A 24,589-nucleotide genomic window follows, 5' to 3' on the forward strand; every position below is an offset into this window, starting at 1 on the left:
TAAGTGCGAATCATTAATGGAAAAACAACCACGTAATGGAGAGTACTACTATTATAAAAAAGCTGTCTGAGAGGCAATGAAAACATTTATCCCAGAGTTAATGGGTTCATAAGGCAGCATTTCAAGGCCAGGGGCTCAACTTCCACATCAAAATGGATGTCTAGCAGGGCGCGGTGGCTCACGCCTGTCGTCCCAGCACTTTGGGAGGCCGAGGCGGGTGGATCACGAGGTCAGGAGATCGAGACCACGGGGAAACCCCGTCTCTACTAAAAATACAAAAAAAATTAGCCGGGCGTGGTGGGGGGCGCCTGTAGTCCCAGCTACTCGGGAGGCTGAGGCAGGAGAATGGCGTGAACCCGGGAGGCGGAGCTTGCAGGGAGCCGAGATCGCGCCACTGCACTCCAGCCTGGACGACAGAACCAGACTCCATCTCAAAAAAAAAAAAAAAAAATGGATGTCTATACAGGTTCACTTTCTCAGTAGGAGCCAGGAGTCTGGTGGGCAAAAATGCCACTGCATGTCCAAGATACTGACTGGTGGCACCAGCGCAGCCCCGCTCCCCGTGGTTAGCTTTTACCAACAGCAGATAGGCCTGGAGTTCCTGTATCTCGCAATTGCACCTTAAAGATTTTTTTTTTTAATACAGATAGGAGATGAAGATTTAAAAAAAAAAATAAGTGTAGCAGGAATCCAACAGGAATATGTCTCTTCAAAAAAGGTTGAAGCAAAACAAAAAAAAATCAATCTCTATTTTTTCATCACTTCCACCCACTTCTCAAAATAAAATAGGTAAAAACAGTAAGGACTTAATTATAACACAGCCTCCAATGATATGTGCATTGAACTCTCGTTCCAGCAAAATTTAAACAAAACTGTTTGGTTTGCGTCTCCCTAAGTTGTTCCTTGATAAGCCAAAAACAAGAAGTTGCTAAAATCAATGAGCCAGCCTATTTTCTCTTAGAAAATGCCACCAAAAAAGTTTAATTTCCTTTTTATTCATTGGAATTTGTAGAAAACTTCTAAAAAATAAAATTTAAAATAATTTCTCTTTTACCTGAAGTTATTTCCTGTGTATGTTTTTGTATTTTTGGTCTATTACAAGATTGTTTTAAATCATATGGAAGACAAGATTTTGGTCTATTTTATATGCTTTGGAGATGTGGCATGCTGGTTGGGACAATGGTAATAGTTTCAAGTCAGTGATATTCTATAAAGTAACTGACGGAAGAAATTATCTTGGCGAGAAGACATATTTGTTCACATTAATGGAATACCTGCAATTTCATTTTGCCTTAAGAAATCATGGTTGGTGAACTGAGCCACAAGACTTTTTAAATGTTATACTACCACTACTACTACTAATGATAAAGCATGAGCTTTTAAAAGGCATGAAATACAAGTTGTTCACTGTTTTGGGATAGTCCACACAAGCAGATGGAGTCTACAATGGCTTGGTAGCTCCCTGAACACTGTTAAACACTGGGGGCTGAGGAGAGCAATGAGATCTGAAGTACAGCCCAGGCTCGGCACCGTTTGTCAAGAAGTTCCCCAAGGTGTCTTTCTGAAAGGGGCACCAAGGCCTGTGTGCACGAGCAGAGGCCTAGTGAGCAGCTGCTCCTTGTAGGTCTGTGCCTGCAAGTGAAATTCCCGCGGCCTGGAACACCCTGTCTCCTCATCTGTCTGGGAATGCTGACCTCTCTCTAGGTCCCGGACCAGGGTCCCAAGTCTAGCCACTGGAATGAATTCCAATGCACACAGTATGGTGGCTTCACCGGGATCGGGCCTGCCCTTTGGCCCGCTTCCCAACTAAGCTGAGCCTCCCACTTCACCCAAGTGGGCGCACGAGTGTACCCGTGGACACACACAGAGGCACACGTGCACACACACACACACAGAAACTTATTTTGGCTTTTGCCAAAATACCTTCAGAATTTTTAGGAAAAATTAAATGATGCCTATGGCTAGAATTCCTATCTGAACGTTCTTCTGCGGGATTAGATGTAAGGGGGTAAATACACTTTAATGTGTTTGACTCAAATTTCCATTCTAAAAATAACATCTCAAATAGGTCTTTCAGGGCCACTCAGCTTATTTTACTTCTTTAGAAACAGTCCGCTGTGTTAGAGTGGTCTCAAAAAAGTCCTATTTTTAGTCATGTGAAAGAAGACAAGGACGTGCTAAAAATGTAAAAGGAGAAACTTGACTGTTGGCTACTGGTGGGTCACTTGGAGAAACATGACTGTTGGCTACTGGTGGGTCACTTGGAGAAACTTGACTGTTGGCTACTGGTGGGTCACTTGGAGAAACATGACTGTTGGCTACTGGTGGGTCACTTGGAGAAACTTGACTGTTGGCTACTGGTGGATCACTTGGAGAAACTTGACTGTTGGCTACTGGTGGGTCACTTTAAACACCGGCCCGGGTCCCCTGGTGCTTGTTTTGTTCCCGGCAGGAATCTAGGGATCAGTCAGGGCCTCTCCTTTTACTAGAGCAAGAGCCAAGAATCTGCTCTTTTCTTCTCCATCAGACTATCTGTGGCCTTTGACCTATCAATTTCTAGGCATTTCCTCTAAAGTTCATATTGTACCAGACTCCAGTCTGGGAATGAGAAGAGAAAGGATATACAACTCCAGATTTATTTGTTATTACTGAATAGTTTACTGGTTTCAACAGAGGGATAGGGCTTTGTTTAAATTTCCACTGAGCATAATTAATGGTTATTGACTGGTAAATGAAGAACAGGTGACACTCTGGATTAGAAGATAAATGATCCTGTGTTCTGGTGTGATAATGGGTTAGTAATTCACCACAAAGCCGAGGCTGAGTGCATCCCGTCGTAATGCTAGATCATGTCCAGGAGACAAAGGCCCCTGTGTGAGAAGGACGCAGCCATCCGCCTCCTTATACAGCTGCACACGTTGATGTGCTCCATTGATTCCCTGATGGATGGCACAACTGAGGCAAAAGTTCACCCGTTCTCACCTTCCTGTTCACATGCTGGACCACATGACCCATGACATGGCCAGGCCACACTCTGTGATCAAATCGCCACCCAGCTTTGGCTTCTGACTAGAGAAACAGTGTTGAGGTTACATGTTTTAGAGGTCAGTCTTCTCTCTTTGTCTCTCAAGGAATGAAGGAGGAAAAAGACAGTCTTCCTGCATTCTTTTGGTGTCCTTTGAGGATGTGACTGACTTGTCCACTTCCTCAAATACTTATTTACTTTCAGTCCTGACCTGATTACCAGTGCACATGAAAAAAATCTCCTGTTTTTTAATCCATCTCACAGAGAGGAAAGCAAATCAGTTAAGGAATGTGCCAGGGCTTCAGATTCTTTAACATAAAAATGTCCCTTAATTGCCAAAAAAACAGGGCAGTTTTCAAATCATGTCTTGCATTCATTTTGCTTTTAAGCAAATGAAGTTCAAGGGAAATCTGACTCCAGACCATTGACTTTTGATGGCCAAGTCAAGATGGGTATAAATATTACTTAAATTTGGACACGTACTCTTCTGTAAGTATATAATTAATCTATCTGTTCTACAAATCCAATTTGGAGAAGTAAAAATAAAACTTTAGTTTTATTTATTTATTTATTTATTTATTTTTTGAGACAGAATCTTGCTCTGTCGCCCAGGCTGGAGTACAGTGGCACAATCTCGGCTCACTGCAACCTCCGCCTCCCGGGTTCAAGCGATTCTCCTGCCTCAGACTCCCGAGTAGCTGGGATTATAGTTGTGCGCCACCATACCCGGCTAATTTTTGTATTTTTAGTAGAGATGGGGTTTCACCATGTTGGTCAGGCTGGTCTTGAACTCCTGACCTTGTGATCTGCCGGCCTCAGCCTCCCAAAGTGCTGAGATTACAGGTGTGAGCCACCGCTCCCAGCCTACAAAACTTAAATTTTAAAATGTCAAATAAAAATACTCCTCTCTCACAGTCTCCCATTTGGTAATTTGAGGGGTGGATGCAGAAGTGGTTTGGGAGGCTCAGGAAGGGCCACTCCCCTGCTTGGGAAGCTGCCAGCTCTGGTGGCTGTTCAGAGCTGGACCAATGAAGGAGAACACTCAAAGTGCATCACCACAGCCGACTGACTACACCTGATTCCGTGCATGCCTTCTGTGGTGGGATGTGTGTTTGTCTTAAAAATCTGGATTCTACAATTGCTTCCACCTCGACGTTAACCTCCAGTTCAGTATCCAAGCCACAAACACTTATTAACTGAGCTGGCATCCATGAATAACAAGATTTGTTAATGAAGGTTATGTTTAACTATGTCTATTTGACTGTTACTTTTTCACCCTGGTGCTTTTGTGCTTTACGTGCTACTGTCACAAAAACCTTAAAACTACACACACACACACGCTCATGCGTGTGCGCGCACACACACACACACACACTTATGTATGTATACGCATTTCAGGGGAGAACATGTATGAAATAACTCTAATAAAAATCATGGAAATTTGAACAAATGGAAATTAAAGTTCCAGAGAAAGGATGCCCAGTGTGTACCCATTCACATGCGTTTCATCTCTAAACATTATTTAGTAGCTGTTTTCATGATGGCAGCCTGGTATTTAGTTTGAGTCAGGACCTCCAGTAGTTTTGTGGTCAGCCAAGCCTTATTCTTTGTGGAATTCACATAGGTAGGTCTTAGGTCTTTGGGTTAGTTTTAATTAATAAAACTATACTAATAAAAACAAACAGTGTGAAACCAAAGTCTGGCCTTATGGCTATGTCTATTTTCTTCCTGGGCAAAAACGCTGTGTCACACGGATTCCTTAGATTAAGGGACTTTTAGACGTTTTAAAGATACGACGTTACTGAACAGAAAAAAAAAGATAATAAATTAATCAAAGGACCAAAAATAAAAGAACACAACCCAGAAAGCCATATAGCTCTTGCTTCTTTCTTTGCTAACATATCATTCTATATCAACACCATATGTACTGAAAGAAAGAGGCAATGTCAAAATTTGTTTTGCCCTTTATCTTTTAACTCTAGCCAGGAATACACAGCTAAAAACTCCAGGTTGGGGTTAATGTTTCTCTTCCCTAGAAACAATATAAAATCGAACAGCTCCTAGTCTTGTGTTAATCATTCTGAATCAGTTTTCTAGGATATTATCTATTCTTTCAATTTGCAGATTCTAGTTATATATTTATTTCTTCTATTTATCTTTGAATATATCTTATCTCTTCTATTCAATTTCTTTTTCATGCACATCAATTATGCATATATCTCTTTTGTTTTATCTTTTACATCTATCACCTCCGAGCTAATCATTTTTGGGTTTTGTTTCATATTAATTTATATGATTTCCTCCAGCCTGTTCACCTGATTGTTTTAGTAAAATTTATTTTATATTTTGTTGGTAACATGGTTTCAATTTCTGTAAGGGTTTTTTTCTCTTCCATACTTTTCCTGTTTACTACCAGGTTGCTTTTTATCTTTTTGTGACTTTATTTAAGCCAGGGGACAGACAACTTTTTTCTTCTAAAGCCAGATAGTAAGTATTTTAGGTTTGTGAACCACATGGTCTCTGTTTCTCTGCTGTTGCAGCACAAAACAGCCATGGACAAAATGGAATCAAATGGGTATGACTGTGTTCCAATAAAACAGTTACAGGGCCCATGGACTACGATTTGCCCACCTTTGCTTTCAGCAAACTTAACAAAAATATGTTGCCTGTAATTTCTTTGACTCTACAGAGAACAATTACCCAAGCTCTAGCTGCTAATTTTTTTGAATGATACCCCTTATGATATGCACAATGCATCTGTTTGCTTATGTTCCTTTTCTTCTTCTTGCAATCCTTTCCCCACTCACACTCAAGCATAGATTCTGGGGTAGTGCCTTTCTACTTATTATTATACTTGAACAAGGCTGGCTGTTCCCTGAAGAATCTTAGGAGGGGGAACAGGAAAGTACACTGAGGACAGCCTGCAGCTTTAATTCAGGCTTCTCTGAAAGCCCTCTACCAACTTCATTGCACGCTTTGCCCCAGGACGTGGCTGCCACAATTTCTCAAGATTTTGCTGGTGAGTGTGATTAGTGGAAAGGAGCCCATGAATTGTAGGGCTGCCCTGGTGCTCTCTGGCGATGTTTGCTTTCACTTTGCCTTTACCCCAGATCACAATCTGCGGTGTTCCTTGGCTAGGAGGTTATGCCAGTGACAATAAAATTGGCTTCTGGCTGGTTGTAGTGGCTCACACCTGCAATCTTAGCACTTTGGGAGGCTGAGGCAGGCGGATATCTTGAGGTGAGGAGTTTAAGACCAGCCTGGCCAACATGGCAAAACCCCGTCTCTACAAAAAATACAAAACTTAGCTGGGCGTGGTGGGGGCGGGGGCACCTGTAATCCCAGCCACTTGGGAGGCTGAGGCACAAGAATCACTTGAACCCTGGAGGCGGAGGTGGCAGTGAGCTGAGATCATGCCACTGCACTCCAGCATGGGTGACAGAGACTTTATCTCAAAAAAAAAAAAAATTAAACATAAAAAAAAGAAATTGTCTTCTCCTTCAGCAACACCTTCTTGCCACTGTGTAGTGTACAAGTGGGTATCTATGAGGATAGTTTCTGCTTCTCTCTAATAGGTAATACTATTTTATGGGTTTTTTAGGACTGAAATTATTTTGTGCAAAATTCATAGCCTGTGTGTATAGTTCCTAACATCTGCTCTAAATTTTCTTCAAATGTCATGGTATCTGTCTCAAATACTTTTTCATTTTTTTTGTAGACAGGGTCTTACCCTGTCACCCAGACTGTAGTGCCGTGGCATGATCGTAGCTCACTGCAGCCTTGAACTCCTGGACTCAAGTGATCCTCCAGCTTCAGCCTTCCAAGTAGATGGGACTACAGGCATGCATCACCACACTTGGCTAATGCTTTTAATTTTTAGTATACAAAAATACTAAAAATGTATGTATGGGCTACATTGTTCCTGGCCTCAAGAAATCTTCCTGCCTTGGCCTCCCAAAGGGCTGGGACTAAAGGACTGAGCCACCAGCCTCAAATTATTAATACCTCATATTTCAAGTTGTGTCCAATTTCATTGTTATAATGAAGCAGAAGTTTCCTCTTAACTTTATTATTTTTCTTGATTTCAGAGGGTTTCAAAAAAAGGAGTGTTGAATGAAAATGTCCTTATATTTAGTCATTTAAAAATATATTTCTTGAAGATGGCTGAATAGGAACAGCTCCACTCTGGAGCTGCCAGTGAGATCAACGCAGAAGGCAGGTGATTTCTGCATTTCCAACTGAGGTACCTGGCTCATCTCATTGGGACTGGTTAGACAGTGGGTGCAGCCCATGGAGGGTGAGCCGAAGCAGGGTGGGGCATTCCCTCACATGGGAAGCGCAAGGGGTTGGGGAACTCCATCCCCTAGCCAAGGGAAACCTTGAGGGACTGTGCCATGGGGAACTGTGGATTCCGGCCCAGATACTACGCTTTTCCCATGGTCTTTGCAACCCACAGACCAGGAGATTCCTTCGGGTGCCTATACCACCAGGGCCCTGGGTTTCAAGCACAAAACTGGGCAGACACCGAGCTAGCTGCAGGAGGTTTTTTTTCATATCCTAGTGGTGCCTAGAACACCAGTGAGAAAGAACCGTTCACTCCCCTGGAAAGAGGGCTGAAGCCAGGGAGCCAAGTTGTCTTGCTCAGCAGATCCCACCCCCATGGTGCCCAGCAAGCTAAGATCCGCTGGCTTGAAATTCCCGCTGCCAGCACAGCAGTATGAAGTTGACCTGGGATGCCAGCGCTTGGTGGGGGAAGGGGGGTCGCCATTACTGAGGCTTGAGTAGGTGGTTTTCCCCTCACAGTGTAAACAAAGCCATCAGGAAGTTCAAATGCGGCGGAGCCCACCACAGCTTGGCAAAGCTGCTGTGGCCAGACTGCCTCTCTAGATTCCTCCTCTCTGGGCAGAGCATTTCTGAAAGAAAGGCAGCAACCCCAGTCAGGGGCTTATAGATAAAACTCCCATCTCCCTGGAACAGAGCACCTGGGGAAAGGGGTGGCTGTGGGTGCAGCTTCAGCAGACTTAAACGTTCCTGCCTGCCGGCTCTGAAGAGAGCAGCGGATCTCCCAGCACAACACTTGAGCTCTGCTAAGGGACAGACTGCCTCCTCAAGTGGGTCCCTGACCCCCGTGCCTCCTGACCGGGAGATACCTCCTAGCAGGGGTTGACAGACACCTCACACAGGAGAGCTCCGGCTAGCATCTGATGGGTGCCCCTCTGGAACGAAGCTCCCGGAGGAAGGAACAGGCAGCAATCTTTGCTGTTCTGCAGCCTCTGCTGGTGATACCAAAAAAAACTGGGTCTGGAGTGGACCTCCAGCAAACTCCAGCAGACCTGCAGCAGAGGGACCTGTTTTTTCATTTGTTTGTTTGTTTGTTTGAGATGGAATGTCGCTCTGTTGCCAGGCTAGAGTGCAATGGCGTGATCTCAGCTCACTGCAACCTCCGCCTCCCAAGTTCAAGCGATTCTCTTGCCTCAGCCTCCCGAGTAGTTGGGATTACAGGCACATGCCACCACACACAGCTAATTTTTGTATTTTTAGTAGAGATGAGGTTTCACCATGTTGGCCAGGATGGTCTTGATCTCCTGACTTTGTGATCCACCTGCCTCAGGCTCCCAAAGTGCTGGGATTACAGGCATGAGCCACCGTGCCCAGCTGGGCCTGACTGTTAGAAGGAAAACTAACAGAAAGAAATAGCATCAACATCAACAAAAAGAACGTCCACACAAAAACTCCATCCAAAGGTCACCAACATCAAAGATCAAAGGTAGATAACTCCACAAAGATGAGGAAAAACTAGTGCAAAAAGGCTGAAAATTCCAAAAACCAGAATGCCTCTTCTCCTCCAAAGGATCACAACTCCTCGGCAGCAAGGGAACAAAACTGGACAGAGAATGAGTTTGATGAATTGACAGAAGTAGGCTTCAGAAGGTGGGTAACAACAAACTCTTCTGAGCAACAGGAGCATGTTCTAACCCAATGCAAGAAAGCTAAGAACCTTGAGAAAATGTTAGATGAATTGCTAACTAGAATAACCAGCTTAGAGAAGAACATAAATGACCTGATGGAGCTGAAAAACACAGCATGAGAACTTCGTGAAGCATACACAAGTATCAATAGCCAAATCAATCAAGTGGAAGAAAGGATATCAGAGATTGAAGGTCAACTTAATGAAATAAAGCATGAAGACAAGATTAGAGAAAAAAGAATGAAAAGGAATGAACAAAGCCTTCAAGAAATATGGGACTATGTGAAAAGACCAAACCTACCTTTGATTGGTGTACCTGAAAGTGATGGGAAGAATGGAACCAAGTTGGAAAACACTCTTCAGGATATTACCCAGGAGAACTTCCCCAATCTAGCAAGACAGGCGAACATTCAAATTCAGGAAATAAAGAGAACACCACAAAGATACTCCTCAAGAAGAGCAATCCCAAGATACATAATCGTCAGATTCACCAAGGTTGAAATGAAGGAAAGAATGTTAAGGGCAGTCAGAGAGAAAGGTCGGGTTACTCACAAAGGGAAGCCCATCAGACTAACAGCAGATCTCTCGGCAGAAACCCTACAAGCCAGAAGAGAGTGGGGCCAATATTCAACATTCTTAAATAAAAGAATTTTCAACTCAGAATTCCATATCCAGCCAAAGTAAGCTTCAAAAGCGAAGGAGAAATGAAATCCTTTACAGACAAGCAAATGCTGAGAGATTTTGTCACCACCTGGCCTGCCTTACAAGAGCTCCTGAAAGAACACTAAATATGGAAAGGAAAAACCGGTACCATCCACTGCAAAAACATGCCAAATTGTAAAGACCATCAACACTATGAAGAAACTTCATCAACTAATGGCCAAAATAACCAGCTAGCATCATAATGACAGGATCAAATGTACACATAACAATAGTAACCTTAAATGTAAATGGGCTTAATGCCCCAATTAAAACTTACAGACTGGCAAACTGGATAAAGAGTCAAGACCCATCGGTGTGCTGTATTCAGGAGACCCATCTCATGTGCAAAGACACACATAGGCTCAAAATAAAGGGATGGAGGAATATTTACGAAGCAAATGGAAAGCAAAAAAGAAAAAAAAGCAGGGGGTGCAATCCTAGTCTCTGATAAAACAGATTTTAAATGAACAAAGATCAAAAAAGACAAAGAAGGGCATTACATAATGGTAAAGGGATCAATGCAACAAGAAGAGCTAACTATCCTAAATATATATGCACCCAATACAGGAGCACCCAGATTCATAAAGCAAGTTCTTAGAGACTTACAAAGAGACTTAGACTCCCACACAATAATAGTGGGAGACTTTAACACCCCACTGTCAATATTAGATCATTGAGACAGAAAATTTACAAGGATATTGAGGACTTGAATTCAGCTCTGGACCAAGCGGATCTAATAGACAGCTACAGAACTCTCCACCCCAAATCAACAGAATATAATTTCTTCTCAGCACCACATTCCACTTATTCTAAAACTGACCACATAATTGGAAGTAAACACTCCTCAGCAAATGCAAAAGCATGGAAATCATAACAGTCTCTCAGACCACAGTGCAATCAAATTAAAACTCAGGATTAAGAAACGCACTCAAAACCACACAAATATATGGAAACTGAACAACCTGCTCCTGAATGACTACTGGGTAAATAACAAAATTAGGGCAGAACTAAATAAGTTATTTGAAACCAACAAGAACAAAGACACAACACACCAGAATCTCTGGGACACAGCTAAAGCAGTGTTTAGAGGGTAATTTATAGTACTAAATGCCCACAGGAGAATGCAGAAAAGATCTAAAATCAACACCATAACATCACAATTAAAAGGACTAGAGAAGCAAGAGCAAATAAATTCAAAAGCTAGCAGAAGACAAGAAATAACTAACATTAGAGCATAACTGAAGGAGATTAGAGACATGAAAAACCCTTCAAAAAATCAATGAATACAGGAGCTGGTTTTTTGAAAAGATCAACAAAATAGGTAGACTGTTATCCAGAATAATAAAGAAGAAAAGAGAGAAGAATCAAATAGACACAATATAAAATGATAAAGGGGACATCACCACTGATCCCACAGAAATACAAACTACCATCAGAGAATACTATAAACACCTCTATGCAAATAAACTAGAAATTCTAGAAGAAATGGATAAATTCCTGGACACATACACCCTCCCAAGACTAAACCAGGAAGAAGTCAAATCCCTGAATAGACCAATAACAAGTTCTGAAATTGAGGCAGTAATACCTATCAACCAAAAAAGTCCAGGACCAGATGGATTCACAGCCGAATTCTACCAGAGGTACAAAGAGGAGCTGGTACCATTCCTTCTGAAACTATTCCAAGCAAGAGAAAAAGAAGGAATCCTCCTTAACTCATTTTATGAGGCCAGCATCATCCTGATACCAAAACTTGGTGAGACACAACAAAAAAAGACAATTTTAGGCCAATATCCCTGATGAACATCGATGTGAAAATCCTCAATAACATCCTGGCAAACCAAATCCAGTAGCACATCAAAAAGCTTATCCACCACGATCAAGTCGGCTTCATCCCTGGGATGCAAGGCTGGTTCAACATACACAAATCAATAAATATAATCCATCACATAAACAGAACCAATGACAAAACCCACATGATTATCTCAACAGATGCAGAAAGGGCCTTCGATAAAAATCAACACCCCTTCATGCTAAAAACTCTCAATAAACTAGGTACTGATTGAACGTATCTCAAAATAATAACAAAATAATAACAGCCATTTATGACAAACCCACAGCCAATATCATACTGAATGGGCAAAAGCATTCCCTTTGAAAACTGGCACAAGACAAGGATGCCCTCTCTCACCACTTCTTTTCAACATAGTGTTGGAAGTTCTGGCCAGGGCAATCAGGCAAGAGAAAGAAATCAAGAGTATTCAAACAGGAAGAGAGTAAGTCAAATTATCTGTTTGCAGATGACATGATTGTATATTTAGAAAACCCCACTGTCTCAGCCCAAAATCTCCTTAAGCTCATAAGCAACTTCAGCAAAGTCTCAGGGTACAAAATCAATGTGCAAAAATCACAAGCATTCCTATATACCAATAATAGACAAACAGCCAAATCATGAGTGAACTCCCATTCACAATTGCTACAAAGAGAATAAAATACCTAGGAATACAACTTACAAGAGATGTGAGGGACCTCAAGGAGAGCTATAAACCACTGCTCAAGGAAACAAGAGAGGACACAAAGAAATGGAAAAACTTTCCATGATCATGGATAGGAAGAATGAATATCATGAAAATGGACATACTGCCCAAAGTAATTTGTAGATTCAATGCTATCCCCATCAAGCTGCCACTGACTTTCTTCATAGAATTAGAAAAAACTACTTTAAATTTCATATGGAACCAAAAAAATGCCCGTATAGCCAAGACAATCGTCAGCAAAAAGAACAAAGCTGGAGGCATCACACTACCTGACTTCGAACTATACTGCAAGACCACTGTACCCAAAACAGCAATGGGGAAAGGATTCCCTATTTAATAAATAGTGCTGGGAAAACTGGCTAGCCATATGCAGAAAACTGAAAATGGACCCCTTCCTTATGCCTTATACAAAAATTAACTAAAGATGGATTAAAGACTTAAGTAAGTCCTAAAACAATAAAAACCCTAGAAGAAAACCTAGGCAATACCATTCAGGACATAGGCATGCGCAAAGACTTCATGACTAAAACACCAAAAGCAATGGAAACAAAAGCCATAATTGACAAATGGGATCTCATTAAACTAAAGAGCTGTTGCACAGCAAAAGAAACTATCATCAGAGTAAACAGGCAACCTACAGAATGGTTGAAAAATTTTGCAATCTATCCATCTGACAAAGGGCTAATATGCAGAATCTATAAGGAACTTAAACAAATGTAAAAGAAAACAACAACCCCCTCCAAAAGTGGGCAAAGGATATGAACAGAATTACCATAAACAATATATTCCCCAATTATGTGACCATGTAAATAATGTATGAAAGAAGCTTAATGAAAAATACACATATAAACAAAGGCTGTTTCACTGTCTGCTGATGCTTAATAAGCCATCCCAAAGCTTCATGGCTGCAGCCTTTTGTTCTGGTTTTTTTTTTTTTTTGAGATGGAGTTTCGCTTTTGTCTCCCTGGCTGGAGTACAATGGCGCAATCTCAGCTCACTGCAACCTCCGCCTCCCGTGTTCAAGCAATTCTCCTGCCTCAGCCTCCTGAGTAGCTGGAATTACAGGCACCTACCACCACGTCCAGCTAATTTTTGTGTGTGTTTTATTTTAGTGGAGAGAGGGTTTCACCATGTTGGTCAGGCTGGTCTTGAACTCCTGACCTCAGGTGATCTGCCCGCCTCGGCCTCCCAAGGTGCTGGGATTACAGGCATGAGCCACCATGCCCGGCTGGCTGCAGCCTTTTGATTGTTTGTGATTCAGTGTGCAGGAACTCAAGAGGGCTCAGAGGACAGTTCCTCTCTGCTCCCGGTGGTGATGGCCAAGGCGGACTGACTGGGGCAGTGGGGCCAAGATGGCCTCCCTCACAGGTCTGGTGCTGGGTGCTGGATGCACCTCAGTTCTCCTCCACGTGGCCATTCTCCAGCTAAGCGTTCTGACATTGTTCATTAGTCTAGACGATGCTTCTTTACGTGGTGGCTGCTTCCAAGGTGGCAAAACAAAAGCCACAAAGCATCCTAAGGCCTTGGCCTGGAAGCTGTCCAGTTCACTTCCTCCGCACGCATTGGCGACAGGATCAGCCCAAATTCAAACAAAGGGGAAACAGACTCTCCCCCTTATGGGAGGGGTGGTAGAGTCACACTGCAAAAGGACACGCAGGATGGGAGGGGTTACCGTAGCCATCTCTAGAAAAAAATCTACCACAAAGAGCTATCTTGTGATAACTCTAATGTCAGCTGATTGTTTCAATATAGCAATGAAGTTATTATTCTTGTCTCTAATATAAACATTGCTTCAGCTTGCAGTTTTTAATTAAGCTCCATCTATCTTTAACATCGTGCAGTGACAGGTTTAAATGAGGGCAAAAATAACTCACGACGCATACACCTGGGATATGGGAGCTCACTTTCAGGTCACTCTAATCTAACGAATGCTCTAACTGGCCCAATACCACTGCTGTCACAACGTACTTCCCAGAAGTGGTTGTTTCCTGGAGCGTGCCAAGCCACCTACTTCAGCCAGGTGTTTCCAATTATCTTCTGTCGCTCGGATACCTGGGTAAGCCATTCTAGAATTAGTTCCTGGCCCAGTAGGAACAACATAAAAGCTCTGGGCATGCAGGAGGAAGTTTCTTTACACTCATGACCACCTGATCCTTCATCTCCATGCTCTTGGCTCCTGACTGTGCTACCTAAATCTGTTCCTGGGAAGCCATTATGACCTTTCTATGACCTTATTCTTCAAGCTAGTCATCCTGAGCACCTGATTCTGCCTCTTGGTCTAACTCTGACCTTGGGAATTTAACCTCTGAACTGATTCTAGGCCCACTAGGTTTCTTGGTTGAAGTGTTGACAATCACTGTTACCAGAAAATATCAACTTATGGACATCACAGTGCGTGCATTAAGGTGGATGTAGACAGGACTTTCAGGATTATTCTAAAACAGCACTGCCCAATAGAAATATAATGTGAGCCACACGTAATATAAAATTTTCTATCAGTTGCATTGAAAAAGTAAAAAGAAAAGGTGAAGCTAAATTTGATGTTTCATTTAATCGAATATATCCAGTATGTTACCATTTCAATACAAAATATGATTGAGATATTTCACGTTCCTTTTCTATGTACCAAGACTTTGAAGTGTAGCCTGTCTTTTGTCCTCACAGGACATCTCCACTCAGAAGAGGCACAATTTGAGTGCTCAGCAGACACACAAGGCTGTGGCTACCACGCTGGGCTGCGTGGGGCTACAGAGCCAGCCTTATGTTCAAGAGGGAGAAGGAACCTTGCTATGTGACACCCTACTCTAATCCTGTTTGCTTATCCTGCTAAAACTCTCTGCCGGGGCTTCTTGGAGAAGGCCTCCTCATTTTCTCCACAGCACGGCTGGAGGAATAATGGCCCCTCCTCCCTTCTTGGTCATTATCTCCACCTCCTGACTTCTTCAGTAGTGATTTCATCAGCGATGACAACTGGGAGAGAGTGAGTGTTTGAAAAGTAGCACAACTAGCTCCTAATTTACAGGCACTTGACGTTTGAATGCCTGCCTGCCTCATCCATCCACAAATGGGCACTCATACCACACTCTCTCCCCAATTGGAATACCTGGGAGTAAACACCTGAGAAACCCTCTGGAGTTTGGTGAAATGTAGTGCTGCAGAGGGGGTAGGTGTTCTCAAACGTTAGCGTGCATTAGAATCATCTGTCAGGCTAGAAGTGTGCACTGCAATCCTCTGGAAGATTAGAACGCAGGCTGCTGGCCCCCTTGAGGCCTGGAGCTACAGATTCAATAGGCCTGGGTGGAGCTGGAGAATGTGCAAGTTCCAGGGTGAAGCAGGAGGCTGCTGATCTGGGAAGCGCGCTGAGAAACTCTGTGTCTAGAGCTTGGGCTGGGAATCAGAAACCCGCGTCTAAGCTCCAGCCCCACTATTCACTGGGTGACTTCTGGATTACAGGCGCGGTGGCTCACGCCTGTAATCCCAGCACTTTGGGAAGCCAAGGCAGGTGGATCACCCGAGGTCAGGAGTTAGAGACCAGCCTTTTCTCAAAAAATAATAATAATCCCTACCTCAGGGGGCTGTTTTATGTATTTATTATTTTTGACACGGAGTCTCACTGTGTCGCCCAGGCTGGAGTGTAGTGGCACGATCTCAGCTCACTGCAACCTCTGCCTCCCGGGTTCAAGTGATTCTCACGCCTCAGCCTCTAGAGTAGCTGGGACTACAGGTGTGCGCCACCACGCCCGGCTAATTTTTTCATCAGGATGATGACAATGATGATTACGTATCTTGAGGGAGTTACTGGTGCCCAGGAGAATGTGTAGTTCATCTCCACAACCAAACTCTTGCACCCATAAATAGCATGGGGAAGGAAGACTGATAGGGTGGAGTGAATTAAATCCTGATTATGTTAGTCACAGCCACAGAATTTAATAGCTGGAAGGGGCCTTAGAGGTGTTGTCATTCAATTCCACAAATGTTAAAGATGAAGCAGCTGAAACTGGAGAGATTAAATGGTTCACCTGAAGTCATACACCTGCTAAGTGTTAGAGCTGGGGCTGGAACCTCAACTCCCTTTCCTGTATTCTTGCGACTGCATGATGCTCTTGTGCATTCTCCTAATGGCTGTGTGTAGAATACATTTTCTTGTTGAAACTCAATTCTACGTGCTGGTTACAAATAGCTGTGTGGACTTTTGTGAGCTAACCTGGGGACCTGACCAGACAAGAAATGAATGTTTACAGTGTGCCTGCTAGTTGCTGGGCACTGTGCTAGAGTCTGGCGATAGACCACGTAGGAACAGACAGGGAAGACACTGTGCCTGGCCTACGTGCTTTAAACATTTATATAGGAAAAAGCGTTTTAAAAGTCCAAATCTGATTTAAGAAATAACTTTTGGGACAGAGGCTTCAGGTAGTTATCAGGGAACTATCAGGTATGGCTCCTTTCTAAAACCTTCCTCCTAATAAGACTGTCCCCACACACTGCTCTTGATGAAGGAGTGAGTCAAGCCAGGTGTATTTAAACCAGGTGATGTGTCCCTGTGCCTACTGCGCCCCAGCCCCCCACCCCCCAACACCCTTCGGTTTCCATGGATGGAGACCTAACATATTCTGGGCCAATGGGAATGTCAAAGACATTTGCAGTAAGAGACCCAGAGGCAGAAACAGCAGGAAAGGGCTGAGCACCCAGGCGTGAGACTGTCACCGGGGCGGAGCCAGCTGGAGAGACTGGGAGGCATGAAGACCTGTGTGGGCAGCAGAGTGGGAAAGGGAGCCCACGAGGAGGGAGGGAGTGAGGGAGATGTGCAGACACAGAGGAAAGCAGATCCTCCTTTCCCATTCCTGCGAGGTGCCCTGAGGCTCCTTACAAAAAATCCCGTTTTCCATGAATTTCTTTGAGTTGGTTTCTGCTCCTTTAGCAAACAAGTTTGGATAAAGAGCAAATAGGACTTCTGGACCACGAGTATATGGGACCAGTTGTGTATCAGCTCTGTATTCAGTGGTAAGAAGGGAGCTCCAGGGGGGATAAGTCACCACCTGTTGACCTCAGTATCCAGTGGGGAAGATGGCCACTTGCCCAGCCAGCCACTAAAATGATGGGAGAGGGGCCAGTGTGAAAGGAGCTGTGGGAACACAGAGGAGACAACCCAGTACACCAGAGGAGGAGGAGTACTCAGGGTCCTCATGAGGGTGTCATCAACCCATGGCCCCCGCAGTCCCCACCGCCGAGGACCGCCCACCCTTGAGCGCCTCTAAAGATGGCAGGCTGGGACATGCACCGTCTTTGTAACTGGGAACCTAGTGTCCTATGCAACTTGTTGGTTAAAACTCATTTCAAATGTGTTTCCCCAGTGTCTTCATTCACAAAAATCTAGATGTCAAGTTAAAAGTCACTCTTCCACTCAGTACTCTGAAAAACATGCTGAATATAATTAGATTTAATCATTCTTCTTTTAATTTTTGTTTGCTAATCTGAGAATGTCCCACTATGAGGAGTATCTGAGCTTTGTTCTTTCGGGTGGTCCAATTGCTCTTACTAACTTGACCTCACCCGGGACTGGGATGGTCTGTTGGCATAATGATTTCCCAGATGCTGACTCTGCAATGTCCTGGATCAACACAGATGAAAAGGGAAGCCAGTTGTATTTAAGAAAACAATGATTGTAACTGTAACATTTGAGTGTAGTGATAAAGGAGGAAAGAAATTCTACTACATACATGCAAAGAGTCATCTAGAGAAACCTCCCCTTCCATGGAAGGGCCTGTCCACATGACTGAAAATTAAACAAAAGGCCCCCTGTGTTCTCCAAGATTCAGAATAAAAATCAAGAGCGTACCTTGAAGTTCAATTATTTTAAAAACACATTATAGATGATCAAGGGAGTTTTTAAAAAATTAAGTCTACTTAATTCTAGATGAAATCTGGAAAAACAAGTAGAAAAAGCCTACAATGAATTAACACTTTTAAAGTATTTAACTTATCGAGTATTTGAAAACTCTAAAATATCCAAAAGATAATTTAAAAAATCTGTGAGAAACTTAAATTATCAGGTACTGAGAATGAACATTTATTTTTTGGTGACTAAAATTCTCAGTAGTCTGACAAGTTATCAACGGCTGCTCAAGACTGTTAACAAGAAAGCCTGTCTAATACTATACAGCACCATAAGTAATGTCATTTACGCCAGTGCTAAAGGTCGAGTTCTGAGGAGCAAGCTTTTCTGTTAATATAACACAGCATTTTTCACATGCATTTCATGTGAATGAACAATGTCTTCATTGTTTGCCTGAACACTAATTTAATGTTGTATTTTTTTTGCTTGTGTCAATGAGTGTCAAAATATTGTTCTTTTAATACATGAAAGTATTTGCATAGAGCTTTATTACTGATCTTCAGATGTTAGCCAGAGGCAAAATAAAACAGAGACGCTCCAGTTGGGAAATCTCGCTCACAATGAAAAGCAAGAGTCCTTAACATATTCTGCTCTCCTGCCAATTTTTCTTCCAAGTACACAATGATTTATTTACTCCATAATTGGTGAAATTAAAAGCAACACTGGAGACGAAAAAAAAACTATAGGAAACCCTTTCCCTAAAAATGAAACAGAGACTTTGCAAGGAGGAATACAAAAACTCTAAGAGGAAGTACTAAGATGTAAGATCTTAACGTGAATTAAAGGACAATCTGATATAAACCTGATTACAGAAAAAGCCGAGAAGCACAGTCTGTTTCAACCATGAAGTGAGAAACACAGAGGCAATTTTTATTAAGTTATGCCTTTCAGCATCATCTCATCATTAAATGCTCAATTGCTTATAACCGTCTGCATTTATTAAGAAAAATAAAGCCACCACATTTTCTGCCTCCACAAAGTTGAAGAGTCCATAACCAGGTATCGGATGTGGTTTTCAATTCTGTTTTTTCCCTCCCTAACACTAATTATCCTGCCATTTGGTACTGCCAAAAAAGACAAAATGCCCTTTCAGAGAGGCATGGGCTCCTGCTGACGGGTTACTCACGACGAAACTTCAGGGCTGTACCCGGGTTGTGGTCAGGAGTGAGCAGTCCCAGAGCTGGCTGCCAGGGCAGGCTGGTAAAGGCCATGCTCGCACGGCGAGCAACCCGACCAGCCTTTCAAGTCAAGTGTTGGCTTGTAGACATATAAGTTAATCAGCTATGAAATAACCACCACAATGTACTTATTGATCACACAGGGCTTATGATGAAACTCTTGGCCCAGGGAAGATTTGTGCTTCTTTCTTTCAGCCTCCAACCTAAGAGAAAGAGCACTTTGAGGTGGTGTTTACGAAAAGGCAGATGTTAACTTCATGATTTCAACCTTCCCTTCCTGGGGAGGATGAGAAACACGCTGGGTCTTCAAAATGAAGCCCGACACATTCGCGTCCCTGTTCATTTTTTACAGAACTTGACATTTTCAGTGTATTGTGGTTATTATTAAGGAAGAGTATTTAGAAAGTTTCAAACTGATAAATTTTAAATGTGTTACCCTAATTTCTTTGCTTCGAGACATTAGGGAATGCTGATCATTTTGTTTATAAATCAATAATATCAAAGAATAGCAATTGAATGTTTGCTCCAAAAATCAAAACCATGTTTTAGAAAGCTGGTAGTTTTAAAGTGCTAGTGTATGTACAAGCAGAATGTTTAGTGTACTTTTACTGCTCTTGAAAATGAGCTGGTAAATACATGTGGTAATTATACTTTCTGCTCAATCTTCGGTTCCCATTTCTACCAAATTCTTTCTAAGATCGCAAAGGGAAAGACAAGGTGGGTGAGGCTGACTGGTGCTGTGGACACGTGCGAAGATGCTGGCAGATGTGGGCCACGGGCCATCCAGAAACGTGAAAAGAAACCAGTGTCTTTTCCCACTAGGTCAGCCCCATTGCTCTGAGCTGTCTTCTAATGTGCATCTTCTTAACCAAAAATGAAAAAGAACAAATTCAGTTCTGATTTCAGTGAGAGGACTATGCAAAGGGGCTGAAGAACCAGTGACTTAGGTCTTCAAGGGAAGCATTCAGTAAGTCAATTCTCCAGGGGCATGGAGATAAAACCCCAGCGTCTCCCCAAGAGTAAACCTACTGGCAAGTGATAAATCCCCCACTTCCAGGGCGCTGCCCTTACTGTCTGGCGAGGCCACAGACTGCAGGTGGACAGACATTAAAAACCATGGTCAGTGTGAGAATGAACATGATGGATGGTATGACAATTATGCAACTGCTCCTTCCTCTTTTCTTTCACATAGATTGCCCTGTGTGTGACTGACTCCAGAATAAACAGATTTTTTAAAGATCTAGTATTTCTAACAGTAAAATGGATTTCCGGTTTGCCCAGGGGGAACAATGGGACATCCCAGTCATCATGGTGGCATGAAATCTAGAAAGCGGAAGAACCAGTTTCTCCATTGGTACGAATCTGTCTCCCACTCAGTAGCTCAGTTTGAAACTTTGCTAGGACCACTAGTGAAAGTAGTGAACATCCGCTCCTGAGAGTGAAGAGTGCTCCCTGTCTCCACACTGGGGGCACAGGTGGAGGGCTCCCTTGGAGGGAGCAGTGCCATTTGCTGAAGCTGCGATCCACTGGAGCTGAGGCACCCCCTCTTGGCAGGCACCCCTGCTAGTTTGGAGGGTCTGCAGGGGAAAGACAGAGCGGGCATTGTAGGCCTGCCTGCTGCTTGTCCGGTACATCTCCTCGTAGTGCTACTGAGGCTGGGGGTTAAGAGTGAAGGAGCGAAGAAAAAAAAAAGCTGTTTGTTTGAAATGATTTTGTTCCCAGCAGTAAAAACAGTGCTGGTAACTGAGAAGGCCTTTCTGTGATCACAAATGTACATTCATACAAGATGGGAGACAACTATTTAAAGCTGGGAATGTGCTGTGAGGGTGAATACGAAAACATGCACTCAAAACGGAGGCCCGTGTGTGGGATGTGAGAGCCGAGAGGTTCACAGAGGCAAGAGATGGAGGCTTTATGTGTTTCTTCATCTTTCCAAATGAATTATTTTTACAGGAAAATACTCGATGATAAAGGATAGTCTTAATATCATGTAGTGAAAAGAACTTGGACTGAAGTCCTAAAACGCTGGGCCCTGTCTGGAATAGGCTTGTCACTTTAGACAACTTACTCATTTCACCCTTGATTTTCTTACACAGGTTATAGGGTTTTAGGTATCCCATCAGATAATATGTTAAAAGCACTCTGTGATCTACAAAATGTTATTGCTGTTATAAATGATAATATTATTGGAGAAAATCCTGGGTTAATGCCTAAGAGATCATCACCGCTCCGTAACGATCGTCAAGATATGATGTGATAATTCCATGGGGCTGTTATCATACCAAACATAAAAACGCTGCATTTTTCAGAGCATGAATTCTTTTTGAAAGATGAGTTTTAGAACTGAATCTGGGGTTTCAACATTTCCGTTCTAAAGAATTTCTGATTCCTTGCCCAAAATCGTTTGGTTATATTTAAGTTCTGAAAGAACACAAAAATCCTGGCAATTTATATGTTTGTCTCAACATGCGGGTTTTTGCAATTTCAAGAAAATAAATTTGTATTATATAGGTAGATAGTTCAGAGGAGCTGTCTTTTTTTCTGAGTAGGGAGCTTCATGAATTATTGTTAAATAGTGTTCCTTTAATAGTGTTGCTAAATAGTAAACAGCTGTGGGCACATTTTTTTCCCCCCAGTGTGACTTCTCAATGAGGAAGAAACCTTAACTGACAGGAGTGATCAGAAGATTTAAACAATTTAAATCTTTTAAAAAACAAAACTAAACCAAAAAGAAAAAAAAAATTTACAACAGATCAGTTAACTGGAGATTGTGCTTTTTGGAACCGGATTCTAACTTAAGCATGGTAGCAATTCTAATGCTATCTTTTATTCAACACCATTTTCCTAATTATCTTGGTCTAAATGTTTCCAAACTTTGTTGTTTATTTTGGCATAAAGAGTTCCCAAGGCCACCGCCTCTTTTCCTAGAGCTGGGGATGGTGTTAACAAGAAGGTGAGATGGGAACACAACCCATTAACAAGCACTGAGAAGGCTGTGGTCTGAAAAACCCCTCGAGCAGATAAGAAGGCGCTAGGCAAGAGTGAGCCCAGGAAGAGAGCAAGGCAGAGCCCCCACAAAAATATTCATTCGCATTGTTTCAGTGAAGATAATCAGAAGGATTTCCCTCAGGTTTCTTATAAATAACATTCATTTCATTGTCTAATTTTACAGATGGAGAAACTGAGACATGCTTGGAGGACTGACCTGCAACAGGGTCACGCGGCGGCTGAGCAGGAACAGAAGGCAAATTTCCTGGTCCCTGGGCCAGTTTTCCACCCAATCTACCCCGTCTAAATGAAACGGCAGAAGCTTAGTTTTGATAAGCAGTTCCATGAAAACATGTCCTGTGCCAGATTCTCGCTGGTGCCCGAGACACTCCCCGATGGAGGGTTAGGGCTCGGAGCCCTTTAACTCCTTCGGCACAGTGGAGAAAGGTTTAGGAAATAGCAGAACAAACGCAAAGGCCTTGAGAAGGCCCTTGCGAGACTCAGCCCAGGACTCTTCTCTCTGTCCTATCTTCAGCCCTAAAGCAAAGGGCTGAGGATGTAAGAAGGCTTTCACCTGGGTCCTTCGAAACATGCCTGGTGCCTTTATTAACTCCTCTACTTCAGAAATCAGCTGCAAACGTCCTCTCTCCCAGTGGGCAGAGCGGCTGCACTATATGAAAACGACACATGTGAAATGGAGGGTGGGTATGTGAAGCTCAGGATGATTCATGGATTCGCTGCCCGTCTGTTTAAATGTAATACTCTTTCAGTGCATCAAGATACCTGATGCCATGATTAATTTTTGTGTGTGGCACAGAAGCAAGGAGAAGTTAGCTAATTTAAGCTGATGTGCATTGAGTCACTGGAAATTGGACAGGAGCAAAGACCACAGAACTTTCGAGGCAGCAGATTCATTTGGGCTTCAGGAAACGCGGTGCATGAGCTGTTTCAGGTGCTGGGGAAAGGCTCTGCGTTAGAACCCACACCTTCCGTCTCCCGGGCCAGGTCTCTTTGTAGGCCACCACGGAGAGAGAAAAGCATCTTGAGAATCCTAATGGGAACCAATGAAGAAATGAGTATCATATTTATATATCTGCTATAACTCACTTTCTAATGAACAAAGTCGCTTACTTTGAAAAGTGATTTCTCTCTTGTGTATGGCTCGGGAGGAGGGTCTAAGGTGGGCCTCGCTACTCCAGTGCCTCCGGAGCCCAGGGAAGCTCACCTCAGGCAGCCTGCAGAGGCTCTCCCCTTCTAGAAGGCCCAGCAAGCGCCCCGTTTCCCACAGACGGTTCCCACCTGGGGATGTTGAACCAGTCTCACCAGATCTGCTTACACGGAGGAGCTGCACATCGAACATGCTAAAAACTGCGTTATGTTTTTTAAAAACCCAACAAACTCTAAAATGTTAGCTGTGGGCTGAAACACTGACTGGACTAAACAAAGCCTGGCAATGGGCCAGATCTGGTCAGCTAGGTCTCCCAGCTCAGCAATCTGGCTTAAAGGAGCACCGGGTAAGGGTTCTTTATTTCCTGCTGAATCTGACTTAAGTGTAAAATCGAGCAGGGATCCCCAAACCTTCCTCTCACACCACAGCTGTAGGGCACACTGAACTTTATTCTGTTCAGTAGAAAATGAAATGAACAAACTATAAAATGTAGCTCCTTAGATTTGTTTATAATACAGATTCAATATTTAATAATACTTTTGTTTTCCTAGTTTTCTGAAATTCTTCATATACGAAATGTAAACCACAAAGGGAATATGATTTTAAAACCGGAAACATATTTTCCACCCACCACCCCCCCAAATTTCATTAAACGCATAAAAGAAAATATCCTTTGTAAAATGGCTAATTACAAAATAATTAGTCACAGAGGTCCTGTATAACAGAAACGACAACAACTCTTAAGTTTCAGTCATCAAGAATCAAGGAACTTATTATTTGGGAAATAAAAATACCAGTTCACCTTAAAGTAAATTTTGGGTTAAAAGGAAAAAAAGATGGCCAAGCAAAGTCAAGTTATTACTTCAACCTTATGCCCTGTCCATCTTTTCAAATGTACTTCAGATAAAAACAAGCAACAAGAGCAGAATGTGCTATTGGTGGCCCTCCCTTGAATTCTTCTCTGAGCTGCCACCACTCCCGAGTCTCCCAGACTGACCTCTGAGTCAAGCCAGATGGGACTGAGAGAGATGTTAAGCAAGTGCTGAAAAGGTGACTTGAGTCTCTGGCAGCCGAGTCTGGAGCGAGTTTCTCTGCAAATTCTCTGGGGGTTGTTGCTTTCCAATTTCTCA

At 42.9% G+C, this 24,589-nt stretch overlaps 1 protein-coding gene and 1 long non-coding RNA gene across 8 annotated transcripts in view; both read right to left on the minus strand.

Annotated features, from left to right (window-relative positions):
• The window catches only part of GMDS (GDP-mannose 4,6-dehydratase), a 621,800-nt gene that overhangs the window by 119,304 nt on the left and 477,907 nt on the right, over positions 1 to 24,589 (minus strand). The window lies entirely within an intron of this gene.
• LOC124901239 (uncharacterized) lies at positions 13,313 to 22,502 on the minus strand. Its single transcript, XR_007059404.1, has 2 exons — positions 14,201 to 22,502; positions 13,313 to 13,871 (listed from the first exon to the last, which is right to left on the minus strand). It is a non-coding gene; the product is annotated as an uncharacterized LOC124901239 (long non-coding RNA).

This window comes from Homo sapiens, chromosome 6 (genome assembly GCF_000001405.40).
Source record: "Homo sapiens chromosome 6, GRCh38.p14 Primary Assembly".
NCBI lineage: Eukaryota > Metazoa > Chordata > Mammalia > Primates > Hominidae > Homo > Homo sapiens.